Source organism: Homo sapiens, chromosome 3 (genome assembly GCF_000001405.40).
Source record: "Homo sapiens chromosome 3, GRCh38.p14 Primary Assembly".
Classification (NCBI taxonomy): Eukaryota; Metazoa; Chordata; class Mammalia; order Primates; family Hominidae; genus Homo; species Homo sapiens.
The window spans coordinates 161,317,362-161,340,575 of record NC_000003.12 but is presented as its reverse complement, the minus strand read 5'-3'; the positions used below and the strand labels follow the sequence as shown (position 1 = coordinate 161,340,575).

Sequence of the window (23,214 nt, the reverse complement as noted above, 5' to 3'; positions counted from 1 at the left end):
AGCTACATTCATGTTACTGCAAAGGACATAATTTCATTACTTTTTACGGCTTCGTAGTTTTCCATGGTGCATAGGTACCACATCTTCTTTATCCAGTCCACCATTGATGGGTATCTAGGTTGATTCTATAACTTTGCCATTGTGAATGGTGCTGCAATAAATACATGAGTGCATGTGTCTTTTTGGTAGAATGATTCATTTTCCTTCGGGTACATACCCAGTAATGGGATTGCTGGATCAAATGGCAGTTCTATTTTTAGGTCTTTGAGAATACTCCAATCTATTCCACAGAGACTGAACTCATTTACATTCCCACCAACAATGTGTAAACATTCTCTTTTCTCCTTATCCTGACCAACATCTGTCATTTTTTGAGTTTTTAATAATAGCCATTCCAATTGGTGTGAGATGGTATCTCACTGTGGTTTTAATCTGCATTTCTCTGATGATTAGTGATGATGAGCATTTTTTCATATTTTTGTTGGTCACTTGTAGGTCTTCTTTTGAGAAATGTCTGTTCATGTCATTTGCCCCCTTGTTAATGGGTTTTTTTTTTCTTGTTGAGTTGTTTAAGTTCCTTAGAGATTCTACATATTAGACTTTTGTCAGATGAATAGTTTGCAAATATTTGTGGCAGAAAATTTTAGTTAGAAACTGAGATAAACAAGTGATATGGACGATGGAAAGATAATCACCCCTCAGAGGGTAGAGTGACCCCAGTTCTTCTTGCTCTGGCTGCCTGTGTGTGGCCTTGGACAAGTGACTTCACTTCTCTGGGATCCAGTTTCTCTGCTGTGAAAAGAATGACTCCTCTGGGAATAGTGTGTGTGTTTTTCTCTTATCGGCTCTTGTGATCACTGGCAGGGCCACCCTAGAAGGTCATGTTGTGAAGAACTTTGAAGCTATACCTGCTCGTTGGAAAGAATGCCATTATGAACATATCAGTGTCTATCATGAGATCAGTAGAAGGGAAGTGGACTCTAAGTTCTGCTGGGTCAAAAACTGTAGAATTACTTTCCTAACCCAGTGCAGTGGCTGGAAACCTGTAGACATAAAATGAAAACACCTACTTACAACACTGTAACTGCTAATCTTTACAGCCACATAGAAATGTGTACACACATACTGGCAGCTTGTCTCTATATACTCAGATACACTTATTCTTCAACTTCAGTTCAAATTCTACCTCTTCTATTAGGCCAACTACATGCCATAACAATAAATAGCTAATATTTATACGGCACGTATACTATGCATCAGGTGCTCTTCTAAGCATTTTGCATATGTAATTCATTTAACTCTCTCAACAATCCTGTTAAATAGATATCATTATCCTCATTCTACAGATGGGGAAAGCTGAGGCACAGATTGTTTAAGTGACTTGCTCAAGGTTACACAGTTAGTAAGGGAGCTGAGATTTGAACTGAGGCTGCAGAGGTGAAGTGTTTAACCATTGGAAGGAATGGCACCTTCTACATGTCCACATAAACCATCACTATACCACACCTTTTTCTGCATTCTATCATTCACTGATTCTGTGTGATTATAGGACATCAATCAATGTGGTAAGCACTTTGAGATTTAGACAGAGCATTATATAGGATGACCGTAGATCCTGGTTTGCCTACCTAGTGCTTTTGGATGGGGATGAGGAAATTCAGAGAATTCTTCCTACATGAAGCGATGCCTGAGTTACATCTTAGAGGATGAACAGCAATTAGCCACATTAAAATTAGCAATTAAAATCAGTTTATTCTCTAATATATTCTCCCTTGCCAATTGGTTATATTACTTGGACCTCTAAATATATCTTTCAGTAAACAGAGTTAACCATCCCTCCCCAAAACTCAAAGAAAACCTCACATTATATATAAAAATGCAGTTCAGTGCTATTATAATTAGACTAACTTGCTTTTCATATGAAAGTCTTAATATTATCACTTCTAGGTGATGTTCTTGAGTAGTTAGAAAAGTAAAGAAAAATTTGATAAAATTCTTGATTAGGGAAGGAGAAAATAATTCAGGGCAAAAGAGTAAGAGAAATAGTTCCTTCTTACAGACGAGAGCTTCAGACTTTCCAATAAATCAAAGGTAATGATCCACTAACTTCATGAGCGTGTGAAGAAATAGATGCCACATCTTGGTGAGTCCAGACAAATTAAAAATGGCTCTACTTACACACTCTGTGACCTAGTTTATGGGTGGTTAAACCAACAGGAAAGTACAGTGACCAGACAGAATAAAAAGGGACCATATTGGAATAGTATTTTTTTATAATCTTGCCTTTTATTTAATTTTACATTTTTCAAATTTGTTGTAATGATGAGTAATTGTTTAAGTTAACCATTATGGTGACTTTGTATTATAGTCATGCAAAGATACTAGCCTTGTAAGACACATTTACCTATAAGACCTGAAAACACAGGAGCTCAGAAAACAAATGTCAGGGAGGACATGACTGCTTCTCATTTCTGGAAAGGTGCACCAGAATGACTTTGAGTTAATTAATTCCTGTAATAAGATGCTCAAACCAAGCTCAAAAATTACTCTGCTCTAAAGACAATCATATAGCCTGGAAATTTGAAGTTACCTGCCTCCCAAATGAGGGGCAGGGAAAAAAGTGGTAAAACTTATCAGAATTATGAAAGCCTTACCCTTCCAAGAAACCAACTTAGAAAAAAGAAACAGATCAGAGATTATTTCAATTTATCAGACTAAGTTAAAAACAGAGATCAGGGCCTGGGCAAAAAGGAAAATGATCAGGAGCTTCAGAGAACAGAAATAGGGTCTCAAGACCAAGTGAGAAACTCCAAAGTCTGCATTGAGAATGTTGCCTGGAAACTCCATGGTTTCCACCCCAGATAAGGAGAATCTGCAGATTCCAAATTCTTGTCTGCCCTTGGGGTTTAGGGTGGAGGAGGCATTTGGACAACCTAACCCTGTTTCCCAGGTTCAATGCTAAATACCAGCTCCACCACCCTCAGAGCACACTCCTGAAACCATTCTGGACTTTGAAAAGGTTCATTTCTGAGTTGAAAGACTCAAGAGAATAGCAGAACAAGTTTCTATCTGAAGTCACCTAAAGTCAGTGCCCACAATTAGAATGGCCCTAAGAGTTATAGCAAACCCACAGTTCCCATTTACACACTTCTCTGTAAATGGGAATGTTTTGCATAAAGATGTTATGACCTTTCCTCTATTAATTTGTTTAGCAAAGCTTTCTTTTTTGCAGGACAAAGGTGAACTTGAGCACAACCCTCTATGAATGATCACAAGTTCCATAATAGTATATTTTCTTCCTTTTGCAATTTTTCATGACGTGTGACATAATTTGCTTAATGTCAATAGTGACAAGACGTCAGGGATTGCCTATTTTTGTCCATTATTGTGTCCTCATCAACTGAAATACTCTCTGGTGCCAAGTAGACTCCCCAAAAAAAGTTCGCTAAAGAGATAATACCCACTCAAAAAGTTGTGAGGACTAACTGAGAAATATACATGAAATACCCATCACAGTGCCTGGCAACTGAAATCAGTATTTGTTGAATTGAGTGAATGAGTGGAGAAGATTCTACTTCACACACTCTTGGTGCCCCCTCCAGGAACCTTCCTACCTCTTGGCTTTCTTTCATTACTATACTTTTCAAATGAGTACTCCATGCTTTCATTTCCTCTCTAGTTTCTCTACAATTCTTGACCTTTCCACTCCACTGAACTGATCCCCTCAAAATCCAAACAACTGGCAAACTCCCACTTCCTTGAAACTCTCTTCCATGTCTGTGGTTCCATGACTACAGATTCTGTTGCAACTTTTCCAACACTTTCTTCCTTTCTGCGAGTGACTTTTGACTTTCTCCTATTCTCTCGGGGTGAGTCTCAGCAGGACTACCTCTTGAACTTTTGCCTTTCTTCTTCTATTAAATTTTAACTTAGCCATACAAGGCTTCCACTACCATTTTTGGCTAATGACTCCTAAGTTTTCGTATCTTCTGTATTTGCCTGACCTGTAGTCCCATATTCCCAAGACTGGGAAAATTCTTAAAGCTTGTCATACTCCCTGTAATCCCAGCCTGTATGCAACCCTCCATACAGTGTCTGTCTCCTCCCCGGCTCATTTAGGGTAAGAGCCACATCATGGGATTTTTTATCTCCAGCACCTAGCATGAGTCCTAGCACAAAGTAGGGAATAAATGTCTGCTAAACAAATAAAGAAAGAGATGTCCTTAGAACTATTACTAAAACATTTTCATTTGAATCTCTTGCAATATCTCAAACTTCACACCTATATGATATCCTTTCCCCTCACCCCAGATTTTCTTGCCTCCCGAATTTCTTACTGTGAATGATACCACCATCCACCTGTCTGAGCTTAAAATCAAGTCCTCTTTGACTCTTCTTCATTTCCCTTATATTCGTCAAATCTTGAACATTTCCTATAATATTTCATGTCATATTCATTCTCCTTCCTCACTGTCAACACACAAACTTAGCAAGGCCTCCGGTCCCATCCAGATGATCACAACAGCCTTCCCATTCTCAGATGTATAAAGACTCTCTCTTATCTGCTGCAGGCTTGTAGTCTAATATTCTTGACCAGGTTTTCAGGAATCCTCACAATCCAGTTTTCTCTCTTCCCACTACAAATCCAACCTCACATCAATATCCATGGCCCACTGTGTTCTTGCCATTGATCAATCAAGTGGTGATTTGTTCCTTCCCTATCTGGGAGCTTCCCTATCTGGAATTCCACCTATGGAATTCTGCCCACAATTCAAGGCTGAGATCAAATAATTTCTTACACAGGAAACTTATTATGACCATTCTAGTCCTAAGTGTTTCTTTTATTTATTTACATTTTTATTTTGAAATAATTTTACATTTGCCAAAAAGTTGAAAAAAAAAGAGACTTTCCATATACCTTTCACCCAGCTTCTTCTAATATTTTTAATAACATGTTGTATAACCATAGTATATTATCAAAACCAGGAAATTAATATTGTTACAACACCATTGACTGAACTACAGCTCTTATTTGAATTTCTTCAGTTTTTCCCTGAATGTCCTTTTTCTATTCAAGAATCAATTCAGAATCCCACATCGCATTTGATTGTCTCCCTGGTCTGCTCCAATCTGTGACAGTTCTCAGTCTTTCCTTGTCTTTTGTGACCTTGACACTTTTAATGAGGGCTCGTCAGGTATTTTGTAGACTGGCCCTCAATTTGGGTTTATCTAATGTTTTCTCATGATTAAATAGAGGCTTTATGCCTTTTTGGAAAGATTATGGCAAAAATGATACTGTGTCTTTCCCAGTGCACACTATCAGCAGGTATGTAATGTTGATATGTCTCAGTACCAGTGACATTAATCTTGACCACTTGATTACTGTGGTGTTGTTGGGTTTCTCCATTGCAAATGTATTATTCTTCCCTTTATAAGGGATAAGTGCTTTGGGAGAGATATTTTGAGATGATGCTGATATCCTACTTCTCCTCAAACTTTTGCCCACTAATTTTATCTGTCACTGGATCTTGTCTGCAACAGTTATTACTGTGGTATTTCCCCAGTGATGGCTTTTTATTTCCCCTCTTTAATTTTACATTTATTAATTGGAATTCTTCTGTAAGGCTGTGTTTCTTAATATATTGGGTTTTATTTTATTTTTATGGGTACATAGTAAGTGTAAATATTTATGGGGTACATGAGGTATTTTGATACAGGCATACAATGCATAACAATCACATCAGGGCAAATGGGGTATCTATCACCTCAAGCATTTATTATTTCTTTGTGTTATAAACATTCCAATTATACTCTTATAGTTATTTTAAAATCTACAATAAATTATTGTTGACTTTGGTCACCCTGCTGTGCTATGGAATACTACATTTTATTCATTCTATCTAACTGTATTTTTGTACACATTAACCATCCCCACTTCTCTCCAGATCCCACCCCCTACCCCTGCCCTACTACTCTTCCCAGCCTCTGATAACTATCATTCTACTCTCAATATATTGTTAATTTATGTTTCTCAGCAGGTGTCTGGTGTGAGGAGTACAGTCCTGGGGGTCTGGGGATCCCTGTCCAGTCACAGCTCTGCTTAAAGGATACCTGACAGAAAAAAGGAGAAAGAGGAAGAAGAGGAACTAAAGAAGGGAAGGAAGGAGGGAAAAAAAAAGAAAAAAGGAACTCTGTCTTTGTCTTAACTACCAGTTACTTTGGAAATGAAGTATCTTAAGGGAACACTTTCCTTTGAGTGGATACCCATGTTGAATCCCAAGGAAAGATCCAGAAACACACTTCTGGTACTTATGCCAATTAGAATAATAAATGTATTATGCACCAGGGTAATAGATTCATGAGGACATTACATGCCATAGAACCTCCATTATGGCTTTTTCTCTTCTCTTTCATAGTGAGTAAGTATATCTTAGGACAGGAAAGAGGGGCTTCAAGCCATAGTACAAACTAGGAGATGGGTAACATGGAAGGCTGACATCAATCCAGCAGAGTCTGGACATCCACAGAAATAATTTAGTCTAAGCCTGTCTGCAAAATGGAGAAATATCTCCCTGGCCTGGGCACTGGGGAGATATAAAACCACACAGACCACAGCATCCCATTCTTAACTTGGCCAACTTCCTTGCCAGCAGCAGACAGAACCCTGTAAGAGTTTGAAGGTAAGTCTGTGTTCACTCCCTTCAGCAGAGTTCTCCTCCCACCCCCGAGCCTATGGCCTCTGTGCCCCACGCAGGGAAGTAGGACACAGTGCACAGCAATTCTCAAACTGGGAACTTCTCACTTATCCAGAGCTGTGGTTGGGGTGGGGGTGGGTGACTGTATCACAAATACCTTGAGATTATTTTAATTTTTTATTCTTATATGATTGATACTCTTTTAAAAAGATAGGCATATTCTGCGTCAGTCTAAATGACCACTTAATACCCACAAAATGCAATCCCTGCATTTTGTACTGCTATTTTTAGTCAGGTTATAACCAAGTGATCCTATGAAGGAATAGTATTTCATTTCTATGTATTAACACGCGTAACTGAATGTATCTGAGCCTGCACAACCTAGTATCTAAATGACAACATTCTGTATCTGCTATTGTACTTGTAATTTATTTTAACCAATTATATGACAAAGCTTGAGATTTTCCCATTTACACACTTCTCTGTAAATGGGAATGTTTTGCATAAAGATGTTATGACCTTTCCTCTATTAATTGTTTAGCAAATCTTTCTTTTTTACAGGACAAAGGTGAACTTGAGCACAACTCTCTATGAATGATCACAAGTTCCATAATAGTATACTTTCTTCCTTTTGCAATTTTTCAGAAGGAAAAATTTTTTTCCTGGGGATAGAATTACAAGACATCTTCATGGACTGAAACTTTAGTTTTTTAAGTTACTGAATAAACTGAGGTTTACAAATGGTGTCATGAAAATGACAAGGGGCAGTAATATATACCAACTGGGGCAGCTAATGAGGAAGAAATTGAGGTGGACTCAGAATGGAAACAAGGCACCAACGTCCACTGGAGGCCAGATTGCCTCATTTTATACTATGCAAACAAAAGTTTACCAATAGTTCAAACAAGGAATAATTTGTGAGAGAACTGAGTCATCTTATACACAGTAATTCTGATACAGTGGTATGGTAGTTAGTACCATTTGGGAAATGTGGGAAATGTGGATTCTTTGTGTATATCTACCTCTGTACTGATCAGATTGCAAAAGTTCATCACCAGAACTTACAGTTGTAGAAATACATGAAAAATATTTTTGGTAAATGGTCCTTTAAAAATGTTTCAGTATTGTTTGGGCATGCACTATTACATTGCTTTATTGCCTTTTGACTGGCCATAGGATAAAATGAGAGTATGTATTTATTGTTTAAAAGCAAAAAAAGAAAAAAGATAAAAATGGACTATCATGCTCAAAATCAAAAGTCAACAAGTGAATAAAATGTCTTCCTATAATTAACCCAAACATTGGCAGTTTTATTTCAATTACATTAAATTGCATTGCATTAACATTGATGATTTAACTTTAATTTTTTTTTTTTTTTTTTTGAGACGGAGTTTCGCTCTGTCGCCCAGGCTGGAGTGCAGTGGCGCGATCTCGACTCACTGCAAGCTCCGCCTCCCGGGTTCACGCCATTCTCCTGCCTCAGCCTCCCGTGTAGCTGGGACTACAGGCGCGCGCCACCATGCCCGGCTAATTTTTGTATTTTTAGTAGAGATGGGGTTTCACCGTGTTAGCCAGGATGGTCTCGATCTCCTGACCTCGTGATCCGCCCGTCTCGGCCTCCCAAAGTGCTGGGATTACAGGCGTGAGCCACCGCGCCCGGCCAACTTTAATTTTTAAATTATGTTGTTTCTTAACTTTATTCAGGTTTTGTAGTTATGTATAATGATAAAGACACCAGGAAGTTTAATACCTAAATATATATTTAGATATTTATCTATAGATATGTAGATATATATCTGTATAATTTAAGCCACAGTATAATGAAATAATTCAAATCACTCTGGGAGGGAAGTGTCCAAAGTAAAAGGAAAAAAAAGCACAAAGTAATAAGAAGTTAAAGGAAATTATTAACAAAATGACCCTATTTACAGTGGATATCCAGCAGAAACAGACCATGGGCAAGTCACTTTAACTTCTTTAAGCTTCAGTTTACCTTTTCTGTAAAAATAGTCATATATGTGCTAAGTTTGTAAATGCACAGGGGAAAAAGTATCTGGAAGAAGCCACGTCCCACTGTCAATAATGATAACTTCTGAGAAAAAAAGTGGTTTGAGGGACAGAGGTCAGAAGAACTGAACTGAACTTTTTACTCCATAATTTTACTCTATAATTTCTGTAATGTTTGAATTTTATACAAGTATACTCACCTAATTGAGTAAAATATAAAGTTATTGCATAAATAAAAGGTCAGTAGATTACTCAAGTGGCGAAAAGAGCATGGACTTTAGCTTCAGAAAACCTAACACTAAAATTGATTCAGGTGATTCTTACGAGCTGTGAGACCTTGGGCAACTCACTTAACTTCTTAAAGCCTCAGTTTTCCTTATCTGAGAAGTATTAGTAATAATAGCTATGGAGATAATGTGAGGATTAAGTAAGATTAAGCATGCAATTCAGACCTAAGATGATCAGGCTTCCCCAGGGTTGCTAGCTTCAGGGTTCTGCATCATTCCTTGTTGTTTTCCCTAGTCAGCAAGTGATCCTTTTCTTAAATGTTTCAAAGTGCCCAGTTGGAATGTAGCATCTGTTTCTTCCTAAACTCCCACATATTCACTGTTCCATAGTGTGGCTTCAGTGAGATGACCCAGCTCTACAGAGACAACTTCACTGCAGGCAACTTCCAGTGGAAATTTCTGCAAATTTCAATAAATCAACCTCATGCTTAGGCACCATAGGGAGAAACTTATGTTGTGCCATTTCAGTGGGATGGAAAAAGTCCCTCTCCTGCTGGTCTGAAATTCCACCACTGTGGTAACTACAGTTCATTCACTGGTGGATATAAAAGATGAAAGTTTTCTAATTAGAGGTTGCAATTCCAAACTGCCCACCCACTCAGAATTTGTCTGCAAAGGTAAAGGATAAAATTTTTGAAAATGTAATTTTCTCAATCCCTATTGTCAAGTTATTTTCTGCTTGTGAGTTGCTCATAAGTATGTCTTATACAGGCAACAGAGGTCAGTGAGAATCAGCCTTCTGACCATAACAGTAGCTGTAGCCTGGACCACTGCCCCTGCCTTTATTACAGCCTCTCATTCTGCTCCAAAAAATGCCACTTCCCTGTTCAAAAACCTGTGATGGATACCCATTTTATTTAATAATCACTGCCGTAGAACTTACCTTGTGCTGGGTACTGGTCTAAGCAATTTATAAATATGAATTCATTTAATCTTCACAATCCTCCTATGAAATCCATTCTTTTTCAGGTAAGGAAACTGAGACACAGATATGTTAGGTAAGTAACCCCAAGGTTACACAGCTAGTAAGTGGTAGGACCGGCAGTGGAACCCACATAGATAGTCTGGCTCCTAGTCTGTGCTTTTGATCACTCCACTCTGAAGCTTCATTGTCTAACAAATTAGTGCAAACTTCTCACCAGACTTTGCATTTCTCTGCAGTATGGCCCCAACTAACCTTTTCCAGGATTATCTCATATCACCATGACATTACACCATCTATTCAGTATCCATTCATCCAAAAAAAAAAAAAAAAAAACAAAAAACCTAACGAACACCTTGTGAAGCCACAGCCTAATGAAAAGACAGACATTAAGAAAGAATTGGCAGCTCAATTGGCCAAGGCAAGATGGGTGAAAGTCAGAGTGGGGGTTATGGTCCTGGAGTTTGCAAGAAGAATGGAAGGACAAGAAAAATAAATATGAACCTCCTGTACCAACTAGAGTGGAGAAGAAGAAAACAAAGGGACCAGATGCTGCCAGCAAACTGCCACTGGTGACATCTCACACTCAGTGCTGATGAAAATTACTGAAGTTAGAGAGAATTGAAGACTGTCTTCTCATGGAGGAAGAATTCATTAGAAATCAGAAATAAATGAAACCATTAGAAGAAAAGCAACAGAAAAGATTAAAAGTGGATGATCTGAGGGGGGACCCCAATAGCAGTAGGAACCTTGGAAGAGATCACAATCATGCCATTATTCTACATCTGTGGGCTCAGAACACTACATCAGCATTCTTTCATTTGTAGACAAGGATCTGCTGGAACCTGGCTGCTCGGTTCTGCTCAGCCACAAGGTGCATGCAGTGATAGGGGTGCTGATGGATGACACGGATCCCCTATTCACAGTGATGAAGGTGGAAAAGACTCCCCAGGAGACCTATGCTGATACTGGGGGAAAAGTTGGATAACCAAATTCAGGAAATTAAGGAATCTGTGAAGCCTCCTCTCACCCAACATGAATATTATGAAGAGACGGGTGTAAAGCCTCCTACGGGGTGGGGGGTCATTCTCTATGGTCCACCTGGCACAGGTAGAACCTTGTAGCCAAAGCGGTAGCAAACCAAACCTCAGCCACTTTCTTGAGAGTGGCTGGCTCTGAACTTATTCAGAAGTACCTGGGTGATGGGCTCAAACTCATACTGGAATTGTTTCAAGTTGCTGAAGAACACGCACCATCCACTGTGTTTATTGATGATATTAATGTCACTGGGACAAAAAGATATGACTCAAATTCTGGTGGTGAGATAGCAATTCAGCGAACAATGTTGGAACTGTGGAACCAGTTGGATGGATTTGATTCTAGGGGAGATGTGAAAGTTATCATGGCCGCAAACCAAACAGAAATTTGGATCCAGCACTTAGCAGACCAGGCTGCACTGACAGGAAGATCGGGATTCCCCTCCCTAATGAAAATACTAAGAAGAGCATCTTTCAGATGCATACAAGCATGATGACACTGGCCGATGATGTAAACCTGGACGACTTGATAATGACTAAAGATGACCTCTTTGGTGCTGACATCAAGGCAATCTGCACAGAAGCTTGCCTGATGGCCTTAAGAGAGCCACAGAATGAAGGTAACAAATGAAGACTTCAAAAAATATAAAGAAAATGTTCTTTGCAAAAAACAGGAAGGCACTCCCAAGGGGCTCTATCTCTAGTGAACCACAGCTGCCATCAGGAAAATGGTTGGGAGATTTTCCAATCCCTGAAAGGGATGAGGCTGGGGAGTTGCCCAAAGGAACTCCTGTTCCAGTTTATTTTTGTTGGTAAGACGTTTTGTGTGTATTTTGGAGTAAAATGTGTAAATGCTCATTGGGCGGCCTTCATCTCTTGGTCACTGTGCAGCACTCTGCTTTCCAATAAAGCATGCTCTTTCATCAAAAAAAAAATAAAGAAAAAAGAAAAATCCATTAACAGTAATATTGATGAATTGTGGCAGGTTTGCATAATGGAACGATATACAGCAGTGAAAATTAACAAACCACAACCACAGGAAACAGCATGGCCAAGCCAGCTAAAACTGAGGCTGCAAATGCTGGGCTGGGAGCAGCAATGTCTGCTATTAGCAAGGGCACTGAGGCAACGCGCTAGAGAACATGGCCTGCAAAGGGAAAAGGGAAAGTGCTGCCTTGCCTATCCTAAGCACTTTCAGCCTCTGGAGCACAATGTCACTATGGCTTTCCTTGTTGCCCTTCCTTGGTTGTTGCCTTTCCAAGCAGCCAGTTGCAGTACTTGCTGCCTTAAATGCTTGTCTATTCCTCTTGAAGAGAAAAAACAACAGGATAACTTGGTCCATCTTAGAACTTAAAAAAAGAGAAAAGTCTAAAGTAGTGAATGAAATAAACATTTAAATCTTGTGTCTTACAGCCCATGACAGATGTTGGCATTCTAAGACCTGTGCTGTCTGCAGAATACAAGGTCCTGCATTATGGTTTACATAATAAACTGAATGATTGATGGGCAATAATGAGGGTCCACCACTACTGAAAAATAGAAGTGTAGTAACAGTGATGAAATAGGATCAAATGCCTTTGTGTGCTGCGTTATCTTATTACAATATCTTTCCATTTTTCATGTATCCAAAAATTCCTTTAAAAGGTGATCCAAATGATTGCTACTGGTTAAATAATTATTTAGGTCTATTGTTTCTTGGTCTATTTCTATTTACATTTGATATTTTGTATAATCAAATAATTGTTTATGTAGAAACTGTCTGTTAAGATAACCAAAGCTTCTTCTAACAATAAGATCAATACTTCTGATTTTAATCAGGTAAAATCTAAGTGTTTAGAATCCAAACTATTTTGAATATAAATATTTTCAATAAAATCTACACATTAAAATTTTTTTCTACTATCCAAAACAATCTGCAGATTCCATACAATCCCTATCAAAATACCCATGCCATTTTTCTCAGAAATAGGAAAAGCAGTCCTAAAATTCTTGTGGAACAATGAAAGAGCCTGAATAGTCAAAGCAACCCTGAGCAAAAAGAACAAAGCTAAAGGCACCACACTATCTGACTTCAAAATATATTACAAGGGTAGAGTAACCCAAATAGCTTAGTATTGGTATAAAAATAGGTACATAGACCAATGGAACAGAATAGACAACCCAGAAATAAATCTACGTATTCAAAGCCAACTGATCTTTGACAAAGCCATTAATAACATACACTGGGGAAAGTACAATCTCTTCAATAAGTGGTGCTAGGAAAACTAGATAACCATATGCAGAAGAATGAAACTGGACCCCTGTCTCTCACCATGTACAAAAAAATTGGACTAAACACTTAAATATAAGACCCCAAACTATAAACTTACTGGAAAAAAACAAAGGGAAACTGTTCAGGGCACTGGCCTAGGCAAAGACTTGACAGCTAAGACTCCAAAAGCACAGACAATGAAAACAAAAATAGACAAATTGAACTTTATTAAATTAGAAAGCTCCTGCATAGCAAAGGAAACAGTAAATGGAGTGATGAGACAACCTATAGAATGGGAGAAAATATTTGCAAACCATCATCTGACAGGAGACTGATATGCAAAATACACAAGTGTGATAAAAATGGACCAAGATGCCACATGATTCCAGAACAATTGGAAAAGTCATATTTCTTGTGAAGAGTATCTTAGAAATAATTATGCAGAGAAGATATAGATGTACACAAGTCACTTGCCTGTTTTAGTCATTTATCCCCTTGTGGACTTTGGGTTTAAGATCCCCAGCTTAGTTTTTGTATCTATAATTTCATCCATGGGTACAGATCACCCCTGAGGCTTAAATAAAATATTTCCTACCTCAAGAGATAGTCTTATTTTCTTTCTTTCTATTTTTTTTTCAGTGAAACTCTGAGCTTTTTATGGTGGCAATGTGCCTAGAACCAGCTCCATGCCAAAATTTTTACTCACATTTTCTTATTTCTCAGTTTCCTTTGTTTCTAGCCATGTAACCCAGTTCTGACCAATAAGATGTAGGCAGAACATGCTGCTGACTTGAGGAATTTTAAATTTCTCTGTAGAAGGGACATACAATTGGTTTGGCCCTTGATCATTTCCCCTTCTTCCTGCTTTGAAGTGGACAAATTATCTGGAGATGCAAACGCCATTTTGTACTTGTGAGGAGATAGCCACAAAGACAAAAGCCAGCTTGTGAAGGATGCTTAGCAGAAAGTAAAGCAAGAGTCTAGACCCTTGGGTGCAGTTGTGTAGCTAAACCAATTGCCAGTAATTGCATAGGTTTGGTAATATGAGAAAAATAAACCCTTCATGTTTAAGTCATGTTGGTCAGCTTTTCTGTTACTTGCAGCCAAATGCATTCTTGATTTGTTTTTCTTCCCTTCTCTTTCTCTGAAGAATCACCATGATGGCTTAGATCCTGTACACATATGCTGAAAACTGGAGGGCCTTCAAAGCCCTCATCACTGCTCAATACAGCAGGGCTCAGGTCTGCATGCTCTCTGCACCATCCCCACTTCCACTTTGGCCAAACCAATCACAAACCTAAATTTCTTTTCAAATTTCCTGCTGGCAAGATTCCAGCATTTGATGGTGACAGTGGAGCCTGTGTGTTTAAGAGTAATGTCATTACCTACTGTGTGAGCAATGAGGAGCTGCAGGAAAGTACTCCAGAAGCAGAAGCCCAGGTGGTGCAGTGGATAGGCTTTGCTGATAACAACATAGTGCCCTTAGCCAGTACTTGGTTGTTCCCTACCTTGGGCATCGTGCACCACAACAAATAGGCCACTAAGAATGCAAAAGAGGACATGAGGTGAATTCTGGAGCTGCTGGATGCTCACTTGAAGATGAGGACTTTTCTGGTGGGTGAATGAGTAACTGGCTGACATCACAGTTGTCTGCACCTTGTTATGGCTCTATAAGCAGGTGCTGGAGCCTTCTTTCCACCAAGCCTTTCTCAGTATCAACCCTTGGCTCCTCATCTGCATTAACCAGACCCAGTTGCGGGCTGTCTTGGAATAAGTGAAACTGTGTGAGAAGATGGCCCAGTTTGATGCTAAAAATTCTACAGAGAGCCCGACTAAAAACGACACCCATGGAAAGGGAAAGGTTCGTTAAAAGAGAAGCAGACGCCTCAGGCTGAACAGAAAGAGGAAAAAGTGTGGCTTCCCTTGCTTCTGAGGAGGAGATGGATGAATGTGAGCAGGCACCGGCTGCTGAGCCCAAGGCCAAGGGCCTCTTTGCTCAGCTGCCCAAGGGTACTTTTGTGTTGGGTGAATTTACACCCAAGTGCTCCAGTGAGGACACACTGTGTCACTGCCATATTTTTGGAAGCACTCTGTTAAGGATGGCTGGTCCCTATGGTTCTCTGAGTATCACTTCCCTGAAGAGCTCACTCAGACCTTCATGAGCTGCAACCTCATCACTGAAATGTTCCAGTGACTAGACAAGCTGAGGAAGAACACCTTTGCCGTGTCATCCTCTTTGGAACCAACAATAGTAGCTCCATTTCTGGAATCTGGGTCTTCAGAGGCCAGGAGCTTGCCTTTCCCCTGAGTCCAGATTGGCAGGTGGACTACAAGTCATACACGTAGCAGAAACTGGATCCTGGCAGTGATGAGACCCAGATGCAGGTTCAAGAGTACTTTTCCTGGGATAGAGCCTTCCAGCATGTGGGCAAAGCCTTCAATCAGGGCAAAATCGTCAAGTGAACATCTCTTGCCATCACCCAGCTACCTGAACCTTTGTTTCAGGGAGATGAGGGTCATTAAAGAAAACTGAACATTGAGAAAAAAGAAATGCTTCAATATTTTATTAATTCTATAATAAAACAAACAGCTGTGCAATCATTTTGATAGATGGCAACTCAGCCTCCATGTCTGACAAAAATAGTGGGGTTAGGGAAGGGACAATCATGACCTGGCTCTGTCCCAAATGAGCAGCTTCTATTCAGTTCCTATTGATAGTTGCTATGCTGGAATGTTATTTGATTTTTTAAAAGAAATCAGAAATGTGGATTTTTATGTGAAATCTCACAATTCAATATTAATAATGAATTTGGAAGTTTCAGACTCCCCAAATGGCCTCAGGAAGGCTAAAAGTTTTTTGACCTCTGAGAGCAGGTGTCAAGGACAAGAACCCTTACCACAGGCCAAGCCCAGCAACTGCCTCTAAGTTTCCTTTCCCAGTGCAGATGCCAGCCTTCTCTGTGGGCATATTCCTTTTCCACTTCACAATGTCTAGATAGTCTCATCAACCTTGACAAACAAATAAGTCTTAAGTTAGGGCACTTTTCATTCTAAAACTGGAGTCCATTTCTAAGAGCAAACTTCACTGTAGGAATTTCCAATTTTTTACTAAAGGCTAAATAATCTTTGTCATTAAAATTTATACCATTAAGATTAAAAAACAAACCCAGATATTTCTGGTTACCATAAAAAGCAAATATTGACTCACTTGATGGTGAAATGACTGCTTCTTTGTTCATTCTTTCAGTAGTTTGTTTTCATCTAGAAAGTGCTGTTTACTTTGTAAGTAATGGTCTGTTTACAGTTCAGGAAAATGATCAACTCCTTTACTTTCTCAAATTTTCCAAAGTATAACTTTAATAAATAAAGCTCTGCCTTGTCATCATGCCTTCTGATTTTCCTTTTCCCTCCTGTTGTTTTCTGTCTTCCCATTTCACTCTAGCCTTCAGCCTTTTGGTAAGCCTGTAGCAAAACCAAGAGTAATTTGACAACGAATATGCTCCTTACTTCACAAAATAATATTCTTATGGATTTATGTCACTGTAACTATCCAAAGCAACTGATAATTTCCTTGGATCATTGAGATTCTCCAATCTCAAATCTAATACTCTTTTTCTCTCATAGTGATAGAAGTGTACCTTTTGGATTCTGTTGCCTGACCTTGGTACCTGCATCTGACCTCTGCTTTTCTCATAACTGGGCCACTACGCAGCTGTCTCACCAGGTTTATAATCTCCTTCTCCTCTGAGGATCCTTTTGTCTTTCTCCTAAGTAGCAAAACAACCAATACATAACTAACAGTAAAACGAATGTTTTCAACACATGATTCTCCTCACTGCATAATATCATCTCAGCAACTCTAGCCATGTAAATGTGTCTGTTTACAGTTTATAAATCTCCAGTCTACTCTTTGAGTAATCTCTATTTGCCTTTTCTATTCATAAGCATAACACATAATACCTTTGCCTGTTTATCTAACAGTTATTACTGCTTGATGTTTCTTAATGTTTCATCGTGGTGAGAGGCATTGATTGGATCTTCCTTCAACATAGAGATGAGCCAAAATTTGCTAAGTGTATTTATTTATAATTTATATTCCTTATAGTTCCAAAATGCATTTAAGATCATTTAGATGAAAACATGTAGTTAGCTTAATTAAAATAAAAACAAAAGTTAAAAATATCTTTTAGAGTTAGGATAAGATAGCTATTGTCACAGAGCATAAAATTTGGCTTGAACTTTTTTGGCAAGCCAGGGAAAACAGAAAGTAGTACAAAGCTCTCATTATGTGATCAAATAAACTACATGAGTTCTTTCCTCAACAAATGAATGTCTGTAACAAATATTTGTGAAGGACTTACAACACCTCAGACACTACACTTACTGTGTGGATACAAAGACAGAAGATACTAAAATGACATGAAAAGGCCAATATCCGGTTTGGTAAATAGACATATAGATAATGACAATAACATGAATTAAATTTAGTGCTTGAAATCTGCACAGGGTGTTATTGAAACACTTACTTGGAGTCAAGAGTAGTTACATCTCCTGAAGAGAAGCATGTGCCATGTGCTGAGGAAAATAATGTGTATTCTGTAGCCACTGGATAAAATGTCCTATAAATATCAATTATGTCTATAGTACAGATTAAGTCCAATGTTTCTTTGTTGATTTTCTGTATGCAGATCAGTCCAGTGCTGAAAGTGGGGTATTGAAGTCTCAAGTTATTATTGTATTAGGGTCTATCTCTCTCTTTAGCTCTAATAAAATTTGCTTTATATACCTGGGTGATCCAGTGTTGGGTGCATATATAATTGTTATATCTTCTTGCTGAATTAACCCCTTTATCATAATATAGTAACCTTCTTTGCCTCTTATAGTTTTTCTCTTTAAATCTATTTTGTCTGATATAAGTATAGCTACTTCTGCTGTTTTTTGGTTTCCACTGGCATGGAATATCTCTTTCCATCCCTTTGTTTTCAGTCTGTGTGTCTTTATAGGTGATGTGTATTTCTTGAAGGCAACAGGTAATTGGGTCTTATTTTTTGGTGGTGGTTGTTTGTTGTTGTTGTTGCTGTTGATGTTTTTTATCCATTCGGCCACTCCATGTCTTTTGATTGGAGAGTTTAGTCCATTTGCATTCAATATTGTTGTTGATAAGTAAGGACTTATCCTGCCATTTTGTTGTTTATATTCTCATTGTTTTGTGATCTTCTCTTCCTTCTTTCTTTTTCTTTCTGTTTTCCTTTTAGCGAAGGTGATTTTCTCTGGCTACATAATTTAGTTTCTTTTGCTTTTTAATTTTTTTGTGTATTCTTTGTGTGTTTTCTGGCTTGAGTTTACCGTGAGGCTTGCAAATACTGTCTTATAACCCATTTTTTAAACCTGATAACATACTGTTTGCATAAACAAGCAAGCAAAAAGAAAGCTAATAAAAGCTATATGCTATAACTTTATTCCCCCACTTTTTAACTTTTTGTTGTTTCTATTTGTATCTTATTGTACTATGTTCTGAAAAGTTATTTTAGTTATTATTTTTGATTGATTAGCTGTTTAGCCTTTCTACTTAAGATAAGGGTAGTTTATACCACAGTTACAGTGTTATAATATTCTGTGTTTTTCTTTGTACTTACAATTACCAGTGAGTTTTGTACCTTCCGGTGATTTCTTATTGCTCATTAACATCCTTTTCTTTGATTCCAGTGCTCCCTTTAGCATTTCTTGTTAGACAGATTTGGTATTGATGAAATCCCACAGCTTTTGTTTGTCTGGGAAAATCTGTATTTCTTCATGTTTGAAGGATATTTTTACTGGATATAGTATTCTACAGAAAAATTTTTATACCTTCAGCACTTTAAATAAGTCATATCACTCTCTCCTATCCTTTAAGGTTTCCACTAAAAAGTCTGTTGCCAGACGTATTGGAGCTCCTTGTATGTTATTTGTTTCTTTTCTCTTGCTGCCTCCTTTCTTTGTCCTTGACCTTTCGGGAGTTTGATTATTAAAAGCCTTGAGGTAGTCTTCTCTGGGTTAAATCTACTTGGTGTTCTATAACCTTCTTGTACTTGGATATTGGTATCTTTATCTAGGTTTGGGAAGTTATCTGTTATTATCCCTTTGAAGAAAATTGCTACCCTTATCTCTTTCTCTACCTCCTCTTTAAGGAGATAATTCTTAGATTTTGTTTTAAGGCCATTTTCTAGATCTTGTAGGTGTGCTTTATTGTTTGTTAATCTTTTTTCTTTTGCCTCCTCAGTCTGTGTATTTTTATTTAGCATGTCTTCAAGCTCACAAATTCTTTCTTCTGCTTGACAAATTATGTTATTAAAGGATTCTGATGCATTCTTCAGTATGCCCAATGCATTTTTCAACTCCAGAATTTCTGCCTGATTCTTTTTAATTATTTCAATATTTTTGTTAAACTTATCTAATAAAATTCTAAATTCCTTCTCTATGTTATCTTGAATTTCTTTGAGTTTTCTCAACGCAGCTATTTTGAATTCTCTATCTGAAGGGTCATATATCTGTTACTCCAGGACTGGTTCCCTGATGCTTTATTTAGTTCATTTGGTGAGGCCATGTTTTCCTGGATGGTTTTGATACTTGTAGATGTCCATCTGTGGCTGGGTATTGAAGAATTAGGTGTTTATTGTAGTCTTCACAGCCTGGGCTTGTTTGTACCCATCCTTCTTGGGAAGGCTTTCCAGATATTTGAAAGGACTTGGGTGTTGTGAACTAAGCTGTATCTGTTTTAGGGGGCACCCCAAGCCCAGTAAGGCTGTGGTTCTTGCAGATTTGTCGAGGTACCAACTTGCTGGTCTTAGAAAAGATCCAGAATAATTTTCTGGATCATCAGGCAGAGACTCTTGCTCTTTTCTCTTACTTTCTCCCAAAGACACTGGGTCTCTCTCTGTTCTGATCCACTTGGAACTGGAGGTGACATGTCACAGGCACCCTTGTGGCCACCACCATTAAAACTGTGCCTCATCAGACTTTAAGCAGCACAGCATTGTGTTTCACTCAAGGCCTACTCTAGCCACTCCCTGGTTACTGTCTATGTTCACTCAAGGCCCTTGGGCTCTACAATCCATAATGGCAAAGGCTGCCAAGCCTGTATCCTTCCCTTCAGGGCAGTAAGTTCCCGTAGTCCCTGAGAAGGTCCAGATGTGCCATCCAGGAGCCAGGGACCACAGTCAAAAACCTTAGAAATATAACTGGTGTTCTATTGTACTGCAGCTAAGCTGGCACTCAAACCACAAGACACAGTTCTTCCCACTTTTCCTTCTCCTTTGCAAAGGCAGACGAGCCTTACCTCATAGCTACTACTACCACAGGCCCACAGAGAGTACAGCCAGATTGCCACTGATGTTTCCTTAAGGCCCAAGGGCTCTTCAGTCAGCTTGTGGTGAATGCTGCCTGGCATCAGCCTCACCCTTCAGGGTAGCGGGCTCCCCTCTGCCCAGGGCAGGTCCAGAAATGCCATCCAATAGGCAAATCCTAGAATCAGGGACCTCAAGACCCCTCTGGGTACTCTACCCTGCTGTGGCCAAACTGGTATTCAAAGTGCAAGGCAAAGTCCCCTTTACATTTCCTTCTATTTTCTCAAGCAGAAGGAGTCTCACCCAATAGGCACCACAGTTGGGAATGTGCTGAGTATCACCTGAAGTCAGCAAGTCTCAGAGGCTCACTCAAGGCCCTGGATGTATTAATATTACCTGAGCATTGCTGCTGGTTATTCAGGGCCCATAGGCTCTTCAGTTAGCAGGTGGTGAATCCTGCCATGGCTGAGTCCTTCCCTTCAAGGCAGTGGATTCCCTTCTGGCCCAGGGTGTGTCTAGAAATGTCATCAGGCAGCTAGGGCCTGGAAAGGGGACCTCACACCTCTAACTGGTGCCCTATCCTGCTGTGGCTGAGCTGGCATCCAAGATGCAAGTCTTCCTCACTCTTCCCACTCCTCTCCTCAAGTGGAAGAAAGGTGTTTATTTTGGAGCTGCAAGTTGTGCAGCGTGGGTTTAGGGGAAGGGTGATGCCAGCACTCTTTTGGCTGTTCCAGCTGGTATCTCAGTATGTCACATGCCCCCCCCCCCACCCCACTTCCCCCGCCCAGTCCACTGACCTGGGCTCAGTTCAGTCCTAGGACTTCCCTAGGTGTTGCAGTCCTCGTGTCCTAGACTGCCTTTCAAGCTTATGTAGAGCCACAGAACACTTTAGCCCACAGTGGTGGGGCTTGTGGAACTCAAGTTCTAGCCACTGGGATCAGTGATTCCCCTCTGGCTATGGCTGATTTAAATGCTTCCTCCATGGGCAGGCATCAGCTGAGTTTGGTACAGTTTTTCTTTCTGCTATAACAGAGCAAGACTGAGTTTAGTGCCTCACAATTTCTGTGTTCCCCTTTCCCTAGCTCACAGAAAGGCTCTCAGTACCATGCCACCACTGCTAGGAGATGGGGCAGGCCAGGTGTTGGCAATTCAAGGCTGTTTTTTCTACCTCTTCAGTGCCTCTTTCAGAGACATGAGGTTAAAACTAGGTACTGCGAGTGCTCATCTAATTTTTGGTTCTCATTAAAGTGATTTTTCCATGCAGATAGTTGTTAATTAGGTATCCTTGCAGGGGGAGAAATTAGTGGAGCTTTCTAGTCCACCATCTTGGTCCACATCCATAGAGTGTACATGTATTTTTTAGTGACATGTTGACAGTTACATAGTCTGCCACAGTCATGTAAATTCAAACTAATTTCTCTGTAAAAAGGAGTTAATAGTCTTATTTGATTAAGCTTTCATCTTTAGCAACATTGAAATCCTAGATCCTCCTTTAACAATGCCATAATACTAGAGGGAGAAATGTGAGATTGAGATTGGGACTATCCACACATAGCTCTCTAATCCCATGCTTCCCGGAGGATCTTAATCAGCAAACTCAGAGTTGAAAAAAGAAATTATTCTGTTTTATCTTTTTTTTTTTTTTTTTTAAGAGACGTGGGGTCTCACACTATGTTGCCCTGGCTGGACTCAAACTTCTGGGCTCAAGTGTTCCTCCTGCCTCTGCCTCCTGAGGAGCTGGAACTACAGGTATGTGTCACTGTGCCCCGCAATTTCATCTTACTTTAACAATTCTTTCTATTTTATTATCTCTATTATTTTAACACAGTCTAATTTCTATTTTGAGTGCACATCCTGCTAAGCAGGGAGGAAACACAACCTCAGACCTCAGGGCTCTTCCCCTCTGGTCAAGCTGCTGTCTCAGACTCAGGCAGTGGAAGACATTCAGGGAAAGGTAGGCTGCCTCTGAGACATTTATCATCCACAGTGGAGGACCCTGGAATTTCAGGGTCTTTCCACTCCTACCCTGACCTATCTGGGGCATGAAGTTCTCTGTAAAACTGCCGCAAGCAGCCTTCGCAACTCTAGTGTCTTGCCACCCTCCCAAAACCCTGCCTAAAAGTTTAGCAAGAGTACCATAGCAGTTAAAATAAATGAAGCTGGTTTATCTGGGTTCTAATTCCAGCCCTGCTACTTACTAGCTGTGAGATCAGCAAATTATATCTTCTTTCTCTGTCTCACTTTCTTCATTTGTAAGCTGGGAATATAGTATCTAACTCAAGGGGTTGTTGTGAGAAGAAAACATACCAAGCATTTAGAATAATGTCTGACGTAAGAATCTCATACGTTTTGATATTCACTAAAATGTAAGCTTCATGAGGGCATTTGTTCTAATTTTATCTATTTGTTCACTGCTCTTGAAACAGTGCCTGGTGTAAAAAAAGTTGAATGAATGAATGTTGAAAGATTCAGAATGTCAACCTAAATAACAAATTAAGAGAGGCTCTATTAGAAAAAATGATGTTTATTTGAGAATAGAGAATTGCAATGGGAATACGTCTGCCATAGTAAACTATGTGTATATTCAGGGAGGTAAAGGAAGACAAAGATTTTTAAAGGAAAAAATTAGGAAGATTACATAATTGTTTTGAAAAAAAATTATCCTTATCTACAAAGATCAATAACAAAAGATT

General features: G+C 39.2%; 2 pseudogenes; both read left to right on the top strand.

The window, feature by feature from the left end:
• On the top strand, nt 10,340–11,871 carry PSMC1P7 (proteasome 26S subunit, ATPase 1 pseudogene 7; annotated as a pseudogene).
• Nucleotides 14,338–15,739, top strand: EEF1GP4 (eukaryotic translation elongation factor 1 gamma pseudogene 4; annotated as a pseudogene).